Genomic DNA, 19,313 nt, shown 5'->3' with positions numbered 1-19,313 from the left:
GATGATGTGTTTTGCTAAAGTTAAATTGCCAAGAATGGGTTTAATAGTAGAAAGATGTGGCCTCGGGCCAGTTCTGTTTCTGTATTTCAATTTAATTAATACCAACGCAGAGAGTGACTGCCTGCAAACAGATGTATGCAAACAGACAAAGTAGCATTAATAACTTTAAGGCTTTGTTTGTAAGTTCGGGTTAACCAGCCTTGATACAACACCAGAACCCTGCACACAACCCTGAGGCATCAGTTTTAATGAGGGATTACCTGATAACTCTATAAAGCTGTCCTGTTCACTTGAAGCCACATTAGCCCATGGTGCTACTAAAATCTGCCTTAAATAGACATTTAGTTCATTTCTTCCTAATTCTAATCCCAGCAATCTCTTCCTCACATAGTTCCCAGCACATTTACTGCCAATGAACTCCAGCAAGTTGCCACATGGCAAGCCAGAATCTGTTTGCCATATGAACGTGACCCTGGTCACCAGCTAATGGGTGCCTGGCCTCCGTCCTGCCCACTGGCATGAGCTTTGTTCCACCTTCACTTTACCTAAACAAATGCAAGCAAACTGAACTTCCTTTGTACCGTGGACCTCAGCAGTGTTCGGCCTTCCCTCGGTGCAAACGCGAGCAATCGAACAAACACCGTTACGAAGACATGTAAAGGGTCTCTTCAGTGGTGCCGTAAATCCAAGTTACGAGGTGAGTACTCAGATAATCTTGATGAGATTGTATGAATTTTAACAGATTTTTATCAAAATGAAAACACAGACTTTTGAGAATTGAAAAACAGGGCTCCAAGCCACTGATGTCTTCACCTATTCCAGGGCCTGGACACTTGTCACCAGGTCCCTCTGAGCAGTGCAGCAAAGCACTGACGTGCCAAATTCCAGCACACAGACCAGGCACAATCTTACTATCCGAAAATGCAATTGGTAAGCCACCACAAACTGTTCAAGTTCCGACCACAGCTGTGCCCCACAGAGCTGTGAATCGTCTCACTGGATTCACACATGTTGAAAATGGTTCTACAATTCTGGCATCTGCCAGAGCTTTCCAGGGATGAAGGCATAATGGGTGCCAAAGGTTTAATTAAAAATTTATGGAAGAAAAACTTACGCTTGAGAACATTACATCCACTCTCTTCAGTTTGAGTTTTATTTCCCCTGCCAGTGTGGACAAGAGTGCCATGATTCTGTTTCATGACAACTTCTAAGTCCCGAGCCTCGCACCTGGAGGGATGCCGGCAGAGGTCATGCTCTGAAATGGGGCCAGCCTCGGCATCCTGCCCAAATGTTTATCCGGAAGTGGCACCTGTCCTGGTGGGGGGGGGGATGGTGCCAAGATCAGCTGCCCTGGAGGCAGATGCCAGGTTCAGTTGACCAAAGGGTCATCTTGTCCAATCTCCTGCCAGCCAGCAGGTCCTCAGCAAAACCATGGGATTTGGTGGATTCTCCTAAGACTCAGCTCCCCAGTCTTAAGCAAAACCAACTCTCCTTCTCCCATCTTCCATCTCCCCAGCTTCTGAGGACAGTGCAGGAACTATCCAGGGAGGAGACAACTCTCCCCAGCCTTTTCTTTCTCAGTAGGAGAGAGTTTTTCACTCAGCAGGAAGAGTTCTTACAGAATCTAGAAAAAAACAGCTCATGCTGCTCTCCATGTGGCCTGAGGACTAGCCCTTACCCTCCTGTGGCTCACTCTCTCCCACATGCCAGGCACAGCCTCTGTCCTGGCACACACCCTCCGTTCTCCAAGAGGAGGAGGGAGTGCCCTGTGTGTCCAGAAAGCATTGCTCTGTGTCAGTCATCTGTATCCACCACCCAAATCAGGGGCGAAGCCAGGAACTCACGAAGACAAAGGCCTGGCAGCCCAAGCAAGCTGTGGGCAGGCGGCAGGCCAGCCGGGACCCAGCAGCAACAGAGAACGGACCCTGGGCTGGCACAGCAGCCAGCAGCAGCAGCCCTCACCTCCCAGGGACGGAGCCGCCCTGCCAAGGGCCCCAAGGCCTGGCTCCATGCCCACCTGCCCCTCACCTGCCCTCAGGGAAGCTTCCGTGCTCTTCCATGTTGCCAGTGGCCCTCAGGATGCCTCCCAGCAGGACCCTAGTTTCAGCTCAAGAACCCCAGAAAGGAGTCTGGGGTCTCAAGAAGAGGGGTTTAGCCGAGCTCCCCTACAACCTAGTCCAGCCTTTTTTTTTTTTTTTTTTTTTTTTTTTTTTTTTTTTTTTTGAGACAGGGTCTTGCTGTTATGCAGGCTGGAGTGCAGCGGCACAATCACAGCTTACTGCAGCCTCAGCCTCCTGGGATAAAGTGATCCTCCCACCTCAGCCTCCTGAGTAGCTGGGACGACAGCTGCATGCTACCATGTCCAGCTAATTTTTTGTAGAGAAGGGGGTCTCTCTGTGTTGCCCAGGCTGGTCTTGAACTCCTGGGCTCAAGCCACCTGCCCACCTCAGCCTCCAGAAGTGCTGGGATTACTGGCGTGAGCCACTGTGCCTGGCCCTAGCCCCGCCTTTTTTTTCTTGAGGCAGAGTCTCGCTCTGTTGTCCAGGCTGGAGTGCAGTGGCACAATCTTGGCTCACTGCAACTTCTGCCTCCCGGGTTCAAGCTATTCTCATGCCTCAGCCTCCTGAGTGGCTGGGACTGCAGGCACGTGCCACCATGCCTGGCTAATTTTTGTATTTTTAGTAGAGACAGGGTTTCACCATGTTGGCCAGGCTGGTCTCAAACTCCTCCTAGCCCCTCTCTTGATGGAAGAGAACCCAGGGCTCCTCCCAGAAACACATTTTGGTTAACTGCTACCTTCTTTTCGTATCTCCTCACTAAAAAGCCTTTCTCTGAGAACCCTTCCTGACAATCATTAAAGGAGGGGGGACATAGAAGTGGCAAGTGCATGCAGTCTGGTCAGGTTGCCCACCTCACAGCAAATCTCCCCCTCTGTCTCCCCAAGCCAGGAGACTGGGCGGGATGGGTGGGGCAAATCTGACTTGGACCCCTCGGTAACCAGTGGGTAAAAAGGGCAGGCTGGTTCCTGCTCACTGAAGTCATGGCACAGTAAGGTGAAGGTGCCCCGAGGGTGGGGAAGGGCCCTGGCAGTCACCCACCTTGACCCAATGGGGCCACAGAAAAGTTGTGAAGAGGCCTTGGAAAAGACTGTGTGGAGGAAGACTTGAAAGGCTGGGTATTGGCTTGGACCCTTGAGAGGAATCATCAGCTAGTCTGTGAATCAGGGGCCTGCTCTGCCTGCAGTTCCTAAGTACCTGCTGGAACTGGGAGCTGTGTTAAGGCTTCTACAGACATTCAACCTTCCCAATGGTCCTAGGAAGTATATGATATTATTCCCAATTAGCAGATGAGATGACTGAGACCCAGCCTGAGGGGCCCATGGTGCCATTCCACAGGTGTTCTTCACTGCCACTCCACGCTCCTGAGCCACACCCTCCTGCAGTGGGGAAGCAGCTCCTCCCTCTGACCCTGGAGGCCCAGGGAGAGAGACTGACCAACCCTGACTCTGCCCTCTGTGGCCAGTCCTCAGCCAGCCCTCTTCCATGCTGTGTTAGTAACTGCATGGCCCCACCCTGCCTGGCCTACGCTGGCCTCTAGCTCCACTCACATGCCCTGTGCACTCCCTCTCCACCTTCCTGGAGCACATCTCTGGCACCAGCACTCACCTACTCCAAAACCTTCAATGGCCCCTGATTTTCAGACTCAAGTGTGGGCAAGCCAGTCGCTGAAGGCCTTGCGTGATTAGGTAATGACTTGTCCTTTCTAGAGGTCTTTTATGGGACTTTCTCCTGTGGGGATACCATCTCCCACTCCAATGGGACTACCCATTGGCACACTATCCTGGATCCTTGCTTTGCCTGAGATTTACCTTCTGCCTGAAACACCCCTCCATGCCCCAAAGACTTCAAATGTGTGCAAACCCAAGGCTGCTGCTTGGAGCTGGTGAGCATGCAGAACTGTGAAGAGAGCTTATCAGCTGGGGCAGGGGCAACATGATGTGGGAGAAGACTCAATGCGTACACGAGCAGGCCACTGGCCTGAAGAGGGAATTGTGGGCACTCTCTGCTCCACACTGGGGTGCTCCCAGAGGGCTCTGCACACGCTGCCCCTGCCCTGGCCCCTTGGCTCGCCATCTTGGCCTCCCTTAGCAACAGCAATGCTGAGTCATCCCTCTCCCATGGGCACGCAGCCCTCTCAGTTCTGTACAAAGCACAGCCGCAGCCACACAGCTCTTATGCAACTTGGCCCTTCTCTGTAAGGGTGTTGGAGGGTGCTGCTGGAGTGGGCTCAGGGCTTTCTCTCAAGCCCCATCTAGGGCACGTCTCCACACTCATGCCCTGCACTTGGAGGCTGGATGCTAGGCGCACCTGGGCATTGGATGGGTCTCTGCCAACCCTGAAGCAGGCATCTGGATGCAGGGATTCCTGAGGAGGGCGGTCCGAGGCAGCACTAGTTCAGTTGAGGCCTCTGCTGACAGCAAGCGGGCCTGTCAGCAGGGCTGGGTGCCTTCTCCTGACCACATACCTTTATCTGCCCCATGCCCCTGTGCTTCCCAAAGCTACCGAGAATCCAGAGGCTGAGCCTCAAGGCGCTGGGCTAGGGGACTGGAGCCTGAGTTCCTGCTCTGCCAGTCTGCTCGGAGCCAGTGTGACTTTGGGAAAGTCCCTGTTCCTCTCTGGCCTCAGTTTCTACATGCATAAAATAGAAGCTGAGACTAGACTGGTGGTTTCCCAGCTTTGTTCCTGGAAGCCCTGGAGTTCTGAGGAAGGATCTCAGGGACCCCTTCACAGGCATGTTGCTAAACCCAAACCCTTCTGCAGCCACACCTGGGGCCTGGAGGCCTATCAAAGCTGAGACCTCTGGTGCCTGGTGCATAACCCTGGGCAAGTGTTTCCCTTCACAAGACTGAACTCTGGCCTCACCCTTTCTTTCCACTAACATACAGGCTTCCACGAAGCCACAGAATGGGGACCTGGCCTAGAGGTCAGCGGGCCTCCATCCTGGGCAAGGCAGAGCAGGGCAGGATGAGGGAGGAAGGGCCAGGCAAGAATGATAGCAGGATCTCGGCAGGAAAACAAGTCCAGAGTCCATGCCCCATAAATCAACGAAGTGAACTAGTTACAAAGTTGCAAGAGCTACAAAGACAAGCAGGGAGCAGTGAGGCAAACAGAGATGAGCAACACCAGAGCCCTCTGGAGGAACAGCAGCAGGAAGAGGTGCTTCCAGAGCCCAGAAACCAGGGCCACCCAGGAGGAACTAAGGTCACCTAAGGGCCTCCTCAATCTGGGAGAGCTGAGGCCACAGAAAGAGGCTGATGAATGATGGCTAGAGACACAGAGAAGACACAACTGCTGCAGAGACACCACCAAAGCCAGAGCTTGGAGGAGACATACCCTTTCCTCTCTCTTCCGCCTGCCCTCCCATCTGTCAGTGCCTCTCATTGGCCAAACTTGGCCAGAGTCAGTTTTCAAGGAAGCCTGGGACCTGTGGTTTGCAAGGCCAGCCCTTGGGATACAGAGCCAAGCAGGGGAAGGGCAAGAATGGATCTGAGAGCGAAGAGGCAAATGGCAGCCATGAAGCCACTCTCAGACCCCCAGAGATCCCTGCCCTTCCAGGTCCTGCCCATACGCCAACATCCAGCTAAAACCATCTTCCCCCAGGAAGCCTGGGTTGCTGGTTCTGGGCCAGCCTGGATCTCTGCCTGGCCACACTCTGGCCTTGGTGCCCCCTTATCCATACAGGATCAGGGCAGGAGGCTCCCACTGCATGCTCTCCAGTCCCATAGATGTCCCTGAAGCTCAGCAGGCCTCTGTCACAGCTGAGCACAAAGGCTGATGAGCCTTTTATCCTCAATTCCCCAGCTGGGTTTCTTTCCAAGAAAATTTATTTTTTCCCAAATGAATATTCCCAGGTCATTTCTTGGGAAATGTATGTCATTGTCATTGGTTTTAAATAACTGGACTGGATGGATGCACAAAAGGAAGCCAAGCACTCCCCTGTAAAATTGCTCTAGGGCCAACCTGACCTTAGAGGGGAAAGGAGGAGGGAGTGCTGCACTGCCTCTGAGAAGACTCACTGAGAAATGCATGTTTAGAGCAAGAGATTCCTGAGGTCCTGGACAGAGGGAAAGATTTTCACTTCACTGAATATGATGGGATCTGGCCCGTCTCTTCCAAGGACCCTTCCCACCCCTGCCTGGCCCCAAGCCCTACTGCTCCCAAGAGTCAGCAGTGGCCTTCTAATTGGCCATGTTCTCCATCCCCTTTTCCCAAGACTCGATAACCCTGAGAGTTGCATTTTCAAACAAAGGCTTGACAATGTCAACTCTCCTCCTATTACCTCTCTGCTGTTTCCCAAATAAACTGCAAGCACCAGAATCTGAGAGATGAGGCCAGTGGAGTGCCAAAGCCAGCTCCTGCTAGCTCACAAGAACCTAGTATTCAGTGACATCAAACTGATAACTTGAAATCAGCCATGGTGGGAATATTTACACCATGGAAATTGGCAAATGCCTCACATCAGAGACTTTTCTACTTTTTTTCCTGAAGAGCAGCTGGTTGTTAAATGCTTACCAACACACCACTAAATGAGGTCTTTGATGTTCTGGGCACATATCACCCTAGCCCCCTCCACCACCACCAATCCCAGTCTCAAGTCCCGTTATCCTCTCTCCCACCCTCTCCCTCCCAGCTGTTCAGCCAACACACCAGGTCTTCCCAAGCCTCCTTGGGAAGCTCATGCTTCCCCCCTGCTGCCAGAGGGGAGAGAACATGAGGGTGCTTCCATCCTGGGTTCAGATCTATCTGTGGAACATTGGGCAAGTTGCTTGCTCTGTTCTCTCACCTATAACAGGCAGACAGCAACACAGGCCTTCATGAACATGAAATAGAAGCATAGCTGTTGCAAGTTCAGCACAGTGCTTTCCAAGGATGGGATCAGACAATGACAGCCCCTTCTCTACTAGCAAAAATTCTTTCATGCCTCAAGGTTCAGCCTGAATTCCACCTCCTTTGTGAAGCCAGATCTGTGAACCCAGCAGAAATGTCCTATTCCCTCCTGGCAGCCTATCCCTGGTGACTGTAGCTCTGTGACATGAGACCAGAGTCCCTTGTGAGAGCAGAGCAGACAGCTGGCAGGTGAGGGGCAGGGGTGAAGAGAGGGGGACAGGATTTACATGCAGCTTCATGAGAAGCAGGATTACAGGGCTGACAAAGCTACCAGGACCACTCATGCCCTTACCCATGGACTAGACAGACAAGAAAATAACAGAAAAAACTCCTTCCTAGGATAGAGACGCTCCCTCCTTCTGGCCTCACGCACCTGCAGGCACCTTCCTGACAGTGGCAGGAGGGAGATACAGCATGTGGGACATGTGGCCTTATGTGAACTCGGCATGAATCAGCCTCACAAAGCTCACCTCCAACCACCAGCCCACTTGCAAAGGTAAGGGAAACGTCCAGAATGTGAACCCCCATCAGCCCAGCCCAGATGCCACTGGCTGGCCAGGCCGCAGGAGCTCTGCTGTCTTTGGGATGAGAAATGCCACTCTCACTGCTTGGCTCCTGCCAGCCCTGGGCAGCTGAAGAGGGACAAGGCTGGGAGGGACTAATGTCATTTCTACCTCTTAGGAGGGCTGGACTGCAGCAGAACCCAGCGTGGTCAAGGGGGCACCTCCACCTTCCTGTGAAGAGCTCAGCAGATCCCCAGCAACTGGCAGATGTTATTATTCACAACTTACTTGCTGTGTAGCCTTCAGCAAGTTGGCTGACCTCCTTGGGCCTCAGTTTCCTCCTCTGTAAAATGGGGGAAAAAACAGTACCTTTTCCTAAGAAGTTATGAAATAAGTGATTAAGTACTTCAAGCTGTGTCTGACACACAAGTGCCTAATAGGTATTAGCTGTTATTATTTATTGCCCCCTTTTTACACAGGAAGAAAGTGGACTTTAAAAGGGAACTTGGGTAGACATAATTTGGAGTTTTTGTCCCAAGTCTCTGCAGGATCAAATCTCTAAAGGAAATGCTGTGGGTGAGCCTAAGCCTGGAGCCTCCCAAAGAGAAAAGCCTGTGTCTCTTCTGTCTCCAGCAAGGACAGTAGAACAGGGGTTCCTGAAGGTCTGCTTGGAGCCCAGCACTGCGTCTTCTATCACAGGGATCCTTGTTGCTATCAAGGGCCAGCATGGCCCTGCTCAGATTCCACTTGTAAAGTGTAAACTACAGAATCTCAGGTTTACAAGAAACTCTAATGACCATCCAGGTCCACAGCTGCTCACAGAGGCCCTTAAAACCTCCACCAGGACATTGCTTGAATACCTCCAGGGATGGGGAACTCAGTACCTACAGAGGCCTCACATTCCACTCCAGATGCACCTGAAGAGAGGGGAAGGGGAAATAAGTGAAGGGGTCAGGGAGGCTGGTACAAAGGCCGATTTTGCCAGTTTCTCAGTTGAGCCTAAGACAGGGCCAGACTCCAGCCACCCAGCTGCCACTACTGCTCCTGCCCAAGAACTCCGGTTCTCTAGAAAACTGAGAGCCCCTCTGGGAGGCCAGGCTTGGCAGGAAGATGTGGAAGCAGGCTGAGCCACAAACGAACTGGTTCCATACCATTAGGCAACAGGAAAGAAAAAGGGTGGCCCGCCCCGGGCCGGGCGCAGCAGCAGCGGCAGTCATGGAGATCAAAACACCCAGATAATGAGCCGAATTCTTCTCCCAGAGACACCAGCTAACGAAGGGAGCACAGGAAGCCCCATGTCACGGGCCCAAAGTGTTTATACAAGTGTTAAAAATACATTTCAAAAGAAAGCAGGGAAGCCCAAGGAAAACCCTCTGCCGCCCTTGGAAAACGGTTTTTGCAAACCACGTTAATTTGTTTTCCAAAAGGTGTTTGAAGTCTCCCTGTGTACCCCCTGGGCAACTTTAATTCCACCTCCTAATCCCCTATTAAACCTGATGCTCACTAACACAGCCCACTTAGGGGATTATGCTTTTTATTCTTCATTATACAGATACATATTTGGGCCCATGTGTGTTCCTATGTTGTCTTGTAAATTAAAAAGCCACTGTCAGCCACACTTCTCCCAGGGGCCCGAAATAGCCTGAGCGTCATTAAGGCACTGAGGGGATTTGAAATGAAGTTTAAAGGGTCAGAGAGTGTGATTTTTAAAATTAATTTCCAAAGCCTTGTAACCTTACAGCCAGAGATGAATGGGTCCGTGGGAAACTGCGAGAAGTAAATGTGCGAAGAGGCTAACCAGAGAGGACAGGGAGGTCACCTTTGCCACACAGAGCAGAGGTGGCTCCACAGTTCCAGGGGTTCGGCGTTCTGTGGGGGAAACAGGAATGTAAGCAGTAACTAGTATTTTCATCATTGTCAGCAGCAGGCTGTTTCTTAAATACCTACTACGTGCTGTTTCCACACCTCAACTCATTAAATTCAGCAGCCCTCTAAGGAGAGTATTATTGTCCCTATATTTCACATGAGGACACTGAGGCATGGAAAACTCACGTGACTCCCTAAGATCCCATTGAAGAAATGGAAGGGACAGAATAACATTGGATAACGTTGAGACCCATGAGATGTACTGAGCTAGTAGCACTCAATAGCTAATGTGTCCAATCCAATGGATATGCATGATCTCATTAAACCTCCACCAAAAGCCAGAGAGATAAATCCTGTCCTACTTTACAGATGAGGAAGCTGAGGCTCAGAGAAGTTTTTGTTTTTTTAAGCTGTCAAAGGTCACACAATTAGTAAGGACCTCGGACTTGAACCAAGGTCAGTGAGACTCCAGAGCCTAAGCCCCCAACTTCTCTCTGACTCCACAAACTCACAGCATGCTCCCCAGCTGCAGAGAGCTTCATAATGGTAGCATAAAAGATGTGACAAGGCAGCCTCCCTCCCACAGGCTCCAGCACCTCAGCTAGAAAGAAAGCCCTGTGGGTTGAAGTAACCTAGGAAGGCCCCTTGGAGGAAGGGTACAAGAGGCAGGCTGGGGAAGAATGGGCTGAATCAGTGAAGACAGTAGAAGTGGGTCAAATGACCTGCACAGGTGGAAAAGGACATGTGTGCTCACAGGCACCTGGCCAGAGATGTCAGGAGACAGATGGGCAGGAGGATCAGGAGAGAGGTCTGGTCTGGGGACAGATATTTAGGCAGAGACCCTAAGAGCCTTAGGGTCCTTCCACCAAATCCTCTCCTCTCTGCCTTCCCTCCAGGGACCAGGCCTGAAGATGGCATCCCTGTTCCTAATCAAGCTGGCCCCTGACTCTGCACACCCTAACCCACCTCCCACACCCTCTCAGTCATCTCTCCTGTCCGTGTCCCCACTCTCTTTGGATCATTACATTTCCCCTGTCCCCTGGATCAGCCTACAGTTTTGCTGTGATTTCTCCCTAATCTTAAAAAACCTTGCCTTGACCCCCACATCCCTCTCAAGCTGCCACCCTATTTCCATGCTTCCTGTTTTGGCAAAAACCCCTTGAGAACTGTGTAGATCTGACATCTCTTCTCCACCCTCCCGAATCAGGCCTCATCTCCACCACTCCACCAAACTGGCTCTCACTGAGGTCCAAGCCAACTCTCAACAGTCTTTCCCATGAACACGTCCTTTCTCCTGCCTCCCGAAACACTGCACAGCTCCCTGGCTGTACCTTCGCAGGCTCCCCTACTGGTTCCTCCACATCCAAGTTCTGCATTGCCTGAGGGCTTACTCCTCTGAGACCTCTTCACTTGTCTCCTCTCTCCATCCATTTCATCTAGTCCTGTGGCTTTAGGTGTCACCTAGTCCTGTGCCACTGCCATGCCATGTTGCAACAGGTCTGTCTCTAACCCCTGCCTCTCCTCTCAGACTCAGCACAACCAACTTGACATCAGCATTTGCATGTCTAATAGGCCTCTCAAATCAGACTGATCTTCACTGCCCACTGCCCCAAACCTGCACTTCCTCTTCTCCTCCATCTCAGCAAACAGCTGTTGGGGTGAAAGAAAGGGGGAAGTCAGGAATAGCTCTTGGCTTGAGCAATTGGATGGATAGAGTGGCGATCCATCAAAGTCCTACTGACTTTACCTCCAAAACACACCTGGATCCATCCCTTCTCTCCCTCCCCACTGTCCCACGTGAGCCTACACCATCATCATTTTCACCTAGACTCCACAATAGCCTCCTATGACCTCTCTGTCTTCACCTTTGCTCCCTACAATTCATTGTTCATTCAACAAAGGGGTCTTTTTAAACACAAATCTAATCATGTCACTGCCATCGCCATCCCATTGTACTTGGATGACATCCAAACTTCCAGACATTGGCCAGGACAGCCCTGGAGGATCTGAACCCTGCCTGTCTCATCAATGTCACCATGTGCCACTCCCTTCTGGATTCCACGCCCAGCTGGATTTCATGGTCCATTCTCTCCTTGAACACACCAAGCTTGTTCCACCCCCAGGGCTCTTGCAGTTGCTTCTTTGTCTCCTTGTAATGCTCTGTCCTGATCTTCTCACAGCTGACTCCTTGCCATGCAGATCTCCACTGAGATGTCACCTCCTTGGGGAAGCCAGCCTGACCACCCATCACATCACCCAGGTTTAATGCTCTACAGGATGCTTCTCACCCCTGACAATCTTCGTGTTTGTTTATATGTGTGTGTGCTGTCTGCATCTCACCAGAATAGAAGCCCCAGGAGGGCACAAGACCTTGTCTGTCATGCTCACGGCTATGGCCCCAGCATCTAGCACAGTGCTTGGCTTAGATCTGACATTCAGTCACCATGGCATGAATGTCTGCTTCCTCCCATCTCTGCATCCCTCCTCCCCGACCCACCTACCTCCCATAAGACCCTGGTCTTTCCCACGAGGCTCAACATGGTGAAGATTGAGTGTTCCGAATAATGTGAGGGCCTGGGGTTGGGGGTGAAGAGAGTGGAAATCTTAGTGGCCATCTTTGATCTCCCAGCCTCAGCTGCCACTTCTACCTTCCCACGACCAGGCAAAACCCCTTCAGACCTGTGTGTGGCCCTGGGTCACACCTCCCCTCAGCCAGGGGACTGCCAGGCAGGCAGCCTTGAGCTTGGGATTACCCACTCTGCAGTCAGACAGGCAGGGCCCACATTCTGGCTCCCCCATTTATGGCCAGGGGACTATGTAGAAGTCTCTTCAATTCTCTGATCCTCAGTTTACTCATCTGGAAAATGGAGCTAGGAACAGCACCTTCCTCTTGGGTTATTGTGATGATTTGAAGGAAATAATCATGTAAGGAGGGCCTGGCACACAGCACTTGCTCAATGAAATCGAGATGTTGTGGATACTATGGAGCCATCATAGGGTCTGGGAGCAGGCCTCGGGGAGAACAAGGGTTCCACGCATGTTCCTCCTGAACCAGGGCCAAGTGGAGCCAACAGATCTCAAGACTAAGAACTCAACACTGTCTCTGCTAATCCCACCAACAGGTTCAAACAGCCACACCTCCTCTGCCCTGCATTCCTTCTCAGTCAAATGACAGGGCCTTGAGTCAGTTCATGATAAGGTGACATTACAAATCATGGAACCTACTTATGCTGAACCCAAGCTCCTCCCATGTAGGGTGGCAGGCAGGGAACTGATTCACCCCTTGACACACAAGGCACTGAGAAGACAGATGGCCCACACACCCTGAGTGCCAGCACCAGATCTGGGCACCACCCCCAGGCCCAGCCCATGGAACGTGATCTGGACAATGGGATGGAAGGCCTGCACAGGGCCCCTTCCGGAGGGACAATGCCAGCTAAAACTCAGCACACCAAGCCTGGCCCCAGGGTTCCTTCTGATATGTATTTAGTAAAATGTGACTGTGCATCTTTATGTCCTCAGCCTACCAAGTAGCTAGACACAGCCCTACATGCTGGGTCAATTGTACCATAGTTATTACATTAAGCTACACTTAATATCCAAAAAGTAAGAGCTGTAATTACAGCCACATTGACAAACCTTTCGTCCACCCAGCCCTTGACTGCCAGCCAAAGAATTAGAGACTGAACCCTACAGCCTCGTTGCCTGGCAGGTTATACCTGGGCCACAGGAAAATATCCAGCTTGGAACAGTCTGCAAGGTATGCATGGCCCCTGGAGTCAATCTGGCACCAAGGCCTGAACACCCTTCCCAGCAACCAAAACCATCACTGCCAGCCCAACACCATCAATGCCACTCCCAAGTGCTTCCCAGCCTGTAAAAGAGCTTGCTCACACCACCCACTGGCATGTGAGTAGCCCAGGGGAGAAAGAGGGGTGGGAGTTGCTGGTCCCTCTTGATAGGCAGGGACACAAAGAACCAAAGACAGGCAGAACTTGCCCATGGCCACACAACAGTTAGGAAGGAAAAACTAGAAATCCAACAGCCTGACCCCTAACTCCATGTTCTTTCAACTCCTCTGTCCTAAATGAGTGAAAAAAGCAACAGAAATGGACTGGCTGTTATCATTACTACCCCTTTTATATCTCCATTGGTAAAAACAAAATTAAAACTTCTTCACAATGTGCTGTCTTTATCATTGTTTTCAAATCCATGTTATTATCTGGGCTTCACCACAAGCCTCTCAGGTTGGTATTCATCTCCACATCTTACAGATTGTGAACTGAGGCCCAGCGAGGCTTCTGGCTCACCCAAGGTCACGTGGAACTTCAGAGGCAGGGGCCATGTCTCCTGACTGCCAGCTCAGTGCTCCATGATCTCCACCCACCACCTCCCAGGCCTGAATGAAACTCCACCCTAGCTTCCCGTAGAACCACAGAACCACAGTTCCTCACCAACTACCAGTTGTTGGATGTACCACTCTGCCCTCTCCTGTACCTCTCTCCTTGCTAACCTCAGCCCATTGACCATGAGAAAACAGAGTCCATGGCCCTTGACCACGAGGCCTCTGGGATCCTCTGGAAGCCCCCATGAATGTACTGAAACATACCTGCCAAATATCACAGCAATCAGATGATCCTTCAACCCTTCCTAGAGCACAGCCAATGATGCCCCCCAGCTGGGTGGGGCATCAAGAAGGGGCCAGATGGCACAGGCAAGGGGCTAACAAAATACACAGACCCCAGCCCAGAGTTCTAGGTGGGCCTGGGTACCCCTCAGCATTTTCCACCCCTCTATTCATGCAGCCAGCCACTCAGCCCGCTCATTTCTGCAGAGGTCGGCCCAGGCTGGAGACCCTGCCAAGACCCAGCTTTACCCAGGCATAGCCTGGGCATCACAAGTGTATCATCCCCATCTCCAGGCTTATCTGTGGTCACTAGTCAAGGGCAAGCACTTAGGACACCTTTTTCCACTTCTGGGACATCTGGCGAACAAGCCCAAGTCTCGAGTGAAATGTGCAGACATTCTCCATGGGACAGTGGTTCAGGAAGCTGACTCTGGGACGACTGAGCCTGACCAAACAGCACTGAATGGGGGTGGGGCACCTCAACACAGAAGGGGCTGGTTCTCGGGGAAAGGCTTCAGCCAATACTGGAGGGATGGGACAGGGCAGGATAAGAGTCTGCAAACATTTGGAAGGCTCAAATACCCTGGAGGGATGGAATTACCTTGCCTAGTAGCCAAGTGTTTTAAGGCATCAGGCAAGGCCTTGCCCATAATTCACTTTCTATCTGTACATGAAAGTCCCACCAAGGATGAAGGATATGGCTGAACACTGGACCTGGTCTGGAGTGGAGTGGACTCTGAGAATGTCTGTCTGCTGACACTACCCTTGTTGCACTTCCTGGGGTAGGGACAATAAAGGAGACCCATGTGACCAGAGTCTCCACATCATCCCAGATGCTGGGCTTCCAGGGAGTATGGGAGGAACTGCTTAATGCACATCCCAGTAGCAGTGCCTCAGCACCACATCAGAATCTTCCTGGAGAGAGGCCAACCCCTGCCAGCCTCTCAGGATCCCTGAGTGCCTGAGCTCTTCATACAGATTGGGCAAGCGAGGCCCATAGAGGGTCACACAGGCATAGAGGGTCACACAGGGTCACACTGGCCCACTGCCAGGTCACACAGGCACGATAAGAGTTGGGAATACTGCTTTCTCCTGATGTCCATTGGTAGCGCCATGCCCCATTGGCAAGGCCTTGGCACTTTTTTTTTTTTTTATCTTCCCAGGACTTTTCCCACAGTTGCTTGGGTCACTATGAAACAGGTGATAGGTGGCCCTCGAGTGTTGTGACAGGAGACCTTTGCTTTATCAAAGGAGCTTTCCCATAAAGCGTCCTCAGTTCCCTGAACGTGGTCTCTCCAGGGCTGATGGCACAGAGCAGAACGCATGCCCAGAGAAACGACGGGAAAATGGGTATAAAATTACATAATAATGTCTGAGGCACACACCGAGAAAATCAATGTTCTCTCAACCATGGAGACCCACTGGGAAAAGACAAGGCGAGATGACCAAAGATTTGATGGGTCTTTTAAAGCTTTGTTTGGTCGAAATAGTTGTTCTTATTTTAAAAACTTCTTTGTCGCAGATAAAATTGTTCTCTAATTTGGTCATACATTTGGATTTCATTATTTTCCGAATGTATTCCAGACATCTAAAATTAAACAGATGTCATCAACCCCGTTTAGACCTAAAAGACTTGTAACCAAACAGTGACTTCAACCCCAATACAATACCGACTGGGAACACTGTGTTTTAGTCATTAAAAGTTTTAAAACTCTGCTCCATTTTTCTCATTTCCTATAATGAGATCTTTTCCCCCTCCTTGAAATACGCCAATTCTTCAAGGGTCAGTGGAAAGTCAAACTGGAGAGTAAAGCAAATTTAAATACGAAAAATGGAAGAGTGAAATATGAAATCCTTATCCACTGAAACCCTCACTGAGAAACCGAAGCTCAGTTTCATTGCAAAGGAGAAAAACGGTAAGGCAGAGATATAGAAATAGTATGAGTGCAGGAAGGGGATTTGGCTTCTAAAGCCTGAATTGTTTTATCGTTCCTTTTCTGACAGGGATTAGATTAGTGAGAATCCTCCAAGCTTGCTCAGGGCGTCCTGGGGACAGTTAAGAAGAAAAGACAATTCTTTCTCCTCTCCAATCCTCATCTCTGAGCTCACCCCCAAATGAATTTGTTAAACAGCGTAACCAGGTCAGAGGAAAGTGCCTATTGGAGATGCCCAGAATTCACAAACAGGGGCCTGTGGCCGCCAGGGAAACACCTGGGGAGGGGCTGGGGAATACATATGTTTGATGTTTGGAGGTCACATTGGGAATTTGGCTGTATAATGTCTTCATGAAATGTCCTAAGCAAAATGTAAATAAAATAGAGAATGGGATGAGAGAGGGACAGAGACCAAAAGAAGACCTTTGCCTCTCTCGTGGGAACTCGAGCCATTGAGTCCTGAACTGGGAGGCAGGCCCCTGCCTCCAAGCCCAGCCCCACTGTACACAGCTGGGGGCTTCAGGTGGGCCTGCTGCCCTCAGAAGCCCAAGCCCAGCACATCGCCCTGCCCTCCCAGCTCCTCAGGCCCCATCCTTCCCCACTCAACCCCCAGCCACCCCTCGCAGCAGAGGCTATCCAACACAGGAAGGAGGACAGGAGAGCTCCAGCCCATTCACCTGCACTTCCTAATGCTCACAAAGCAGCGCGTTTGCCCCATAACTCATCCCCCCCAACACCCAAATAACCCTCTGCCTAGGGTACTCTGGGAGGAAGAGCACCTCGAAATATGAGAAACCAGCTTACTTCAAAAAGACAGCACTTCCTAGGGCACCCAGCCCCAAATACCTGTTCCAGGAAAGAGGTTCAGGTTCCCGACCCCAGAAAGGGATATGGCCACTAATCTGCTCCTGCAGGGACTGGCAAGATTCTTGTTGGGGTCTGCCTTGTTTACCCTAGAAGAGGAGGCAGGAGGTCAAAAGACACAAACCCAGCTACCTCAGTTAGAGGACAAAGTCAAAAGCCACCTTTGAGGTGGGCAGGAGGAAAGGTGATGCCCCTGAAACACACATAGGAACGGGCCCACATTGGCCCTGAGTTGGGCCCCTCTCATGTGTCCCAAACTTGCCCATCACTTGAGATGGGCAACACCTCTTGCCTCCCCCAACAGCATCCAGAGAGGTGCTCACTCCTCAATGGCAGGCGAGTCACTTAGTGTCACTGGGCCTCGATTCTCAACTGTACCTCCCGATGATTTGTGAAGATTCACTCCCCACAACTGGCGAACAGCTTGGCCCCAGGTGCAACCCTGGCTGGCCCTCCAGGGGGCTCTGTTGAGGAGTACTGCATCCCTGGAGTTCACTAGCGATGGCTGCCTTAATTGTGGGAGAAGAGAAAAATGACAGCATCTAGTTCTCCTACTCACCAATCCAGAATCAGCCCATCTTATTTCACAGGTGTAGAAACTGAGGCCCAGGGACATAAGGTGAACCTATGCAAGGTGGTCACATTGGAACAGAAGACCAAGTGCTGAAAAGTTGTAACACTGGAAAGTTAGCAATGTGCCAACTGGTAGATTTCAATCTTCAGGGTTCCCTGGATTTGAATTATGTTGGACTTTTCAAAGCACTTTAATCCACTATCTTAGGGTAAGCCCTACACATTTGGAAGAGATGCATCAGGTAGGGGAAACTGAGGTCAGCTAGGTGAAGCGACACTCCAGCTCACATAGCAAGCCAGTGACAAAGCTGGGAGGAAAACTCAGGCCACTCTTCCCATAGACCACCTGCCAGTCAAATTGCCACTGTCACCCAACAATACTGACAAGTTAGGGCTGCCAGAGGGTATTATTTAGCTGGAACAGGGAGGAAGGGGAATGTGGAAAAAGAACTGGCTGTCCAATAGCCTGGCAGGGTGGAGGGGGGGTGGTAGTAAACAGTGACAATTTATTAATGGCCTTTACATCACTTCAGAGACTTGGAAGGGAGAGCCAGCTGACCAATAAGACATCATTACCACCAGACCCCTTGAGCTTACTCACACAAAGACTTTTTAGCCAGCAAATGTCACTCATTTCTCTAATAGGTGGCTGGCAAAGCTCTTTTAGTACCTATAATAAACTGAAGTCACAAAAGGGACAAATTAGCTGGCAATTGTTTGCTGGTAATTATTTGTTTTACCAAAGGATTGTTTTCTCTTTATCCCAGAGTTCTTATAAATAGCAAAAGCCCTTCTAGCATTTGAGTATAATCCCATTCACAAAGGCTCTGAGTACACCCAGCCATTCAGAAGCTCAGAGCTACTCATTAAGTTGGGACTTGACAACTGCCCTGCATAAAGCACCAGATCCTTGGCTCATGGCTGTTCCAAACTCCAAACCCAACCCCAAAGATCATGGGGGGTGGGGGGCATGTTTGACCACAGAAAGGATGCCAGGGAAAGTGGGCATGGGCTCCATGATAATCCCCAAAGTGGGGGCTGGAAAAGCTCTGGTCCTTGTTGAACCTCAGAGAGCAATGTTCATTGCACAGGTGCAGATGGAGCATCTGCTGTGTGCCAGGCATTATGCTAGGCATGGGTGAAATGGACAGCAAATCCAACACAATTCCTGCTTTCCCAGAGCATGGGGGGGGGGGGATGGGGGGGAGGCAAAGATCAAGACAAATATCAATCAGATAGCCACACTAATGAATATCTAACTGCAAAGGCACCTAAGGATCCTGAAGGAAAGGAACTCAGTTCCAGAAGAGCTCCCGATAAAGACACCTGACCTAGCCTGAGGGGAGGCTTTGCAGGAGTTGAGATCTAAAGGATCAGCGACAGTTAACCAGACAACAAGGGGTAGAGCAGAAAGAGGTCCAGGAAGAGGCCAGGGCATGTGTCAAGGCCCTGGGATGGGAGAGAACATGGCATGTTTGAGGAACTGAGAAAGGAAAGCAAAAAGTGCCTGGGCAGCAGAGAGCAAGGGGCAGAGTGATAACAGACGAGGGCTCATAGGTCATGCTAAGCAGTCTGGTCTTCATTCAAAGAAAAGTGGGAAGCCATTAGAAGGTTTAAGAAAGTGAGAGCCATGATCAGTCTTGGGTTTTGAACAGATGGTTCTGGGTGTTGAGTGGAGAAAGGACTGCAGAAGAGCAAGGTAAGATCAAGGTGACAGCAGGTGGCCAGCTAGGATGTGCTGTCCAGATGAGAGGTAAAGGTGACTGGACCGAGGTGGCAGCAGCGATGATGGACAGAGGTGGAGGGACTAAGGAGCTGTCGGACATAAAACTGACAAGGCTTCAGGATGGATTGGACATGGGGGCTAGAGAGAGGGCATGTCAGGGATGCCTCCCAGGTGGCCCCTGAGACGGAGACACTGGAAGAGAGGCAAGGTGACTGTGCTATGCTGGGTGGAAGGGTCAGGAGTGCAGCCATGACCATGGCTGTCTCAGATCCC

At 51.0% G+C, this 19,313-nt stretch overlaps 1 long non-coding RNA gene across 1 annotated transcript in view, besides 4 other annotated features; it reads right to left on the bottom strand.

Annotated features, from left to right (window-relative positions):
* PITX1-AS1 (PITX1 antisense RNA 1) overlaps positions 1-19,313 on the bottom strand; it is a 311,407-nt gene that overhangs the window by 109,704 nt on the left and 182,390 nt on the right. The window lies entirely within an intron of this gene.
* Positions 4,018-4,067: an enhancer, noted in NCBI's record as "active region_23169". NCBI's record gives its function as "activates an Ori minimal core promoter by ATAC-STARR-seq in GM12878 lymphoblastoid cells {active_cell/tissue: GM12878}" and the evidence as "EXISTENCE:reporter gene assay evidence [ECO:0000049][PMID:35858748]".
* Positions 4,078-4,237: an enhancer, noted in NCBI's record as "active region_23168". NCBI's record gives its function as "activates an Ori minimal core promoter by ATAC-STARR-seq in GM12878 lymphoblastoid cells {active_cell/tissue: GM12878}" and the evidence as "EXISTENCE:reporter gene assay evidence [ECO:0000049][PMID:35858748]".
* Positions 4,714-5,275: an enhancer, noted in NCBI's record as "H3K27ac-H3K4me1 hESC enhancer chr5:134565392-134565953 (GRCh37/hg19 assembly coordinates)". NCBI's record gives its function as "activates a minimal SCP1, AML or CMV promoter by ChIP-STARR-seq in naive H9 embryonic stem cells {active_cell/tissue: H9 hESC(naive)}" and the evidence as "EXISTENCE:reporter gene assay evidence [ECO:0000049][PMID:30033119]".
* Positions 6,980-7,480: an enhancer, noted in NCBI's record as "H3K4me1 hESC enhancer chr5:134563187-134563687 (GRCh37/hg19 assembly coordinates)". NCBI's record gives its function as "activates a minimal SCP1, AML or CMV promoter by ChIP-STARR-seq in naive H9 embryonic stem cells {active_cell/tissue: H9 hESC(naive)}" and the evidence as "EXISTENCE:reporter gene assay evidence [ECO:0000049][PMID:30033119]".

The sequence above is a fragment of the Homo sapiens genome, chromosome 5, assembly GCF_000001405.40.
Source record: "Homo sapiens chromosome 5, GRCh38.p14 Primary Assembly".
Classification (NCBI taxonomy): Eukaryota; Metazoa; Chordata; class Mammalia; order Primates; family Hominidae; genus Homo; species Homo sapiens.
This window is presented reverse-complemented; position numbering and strand designations above follow the sequence as displayed.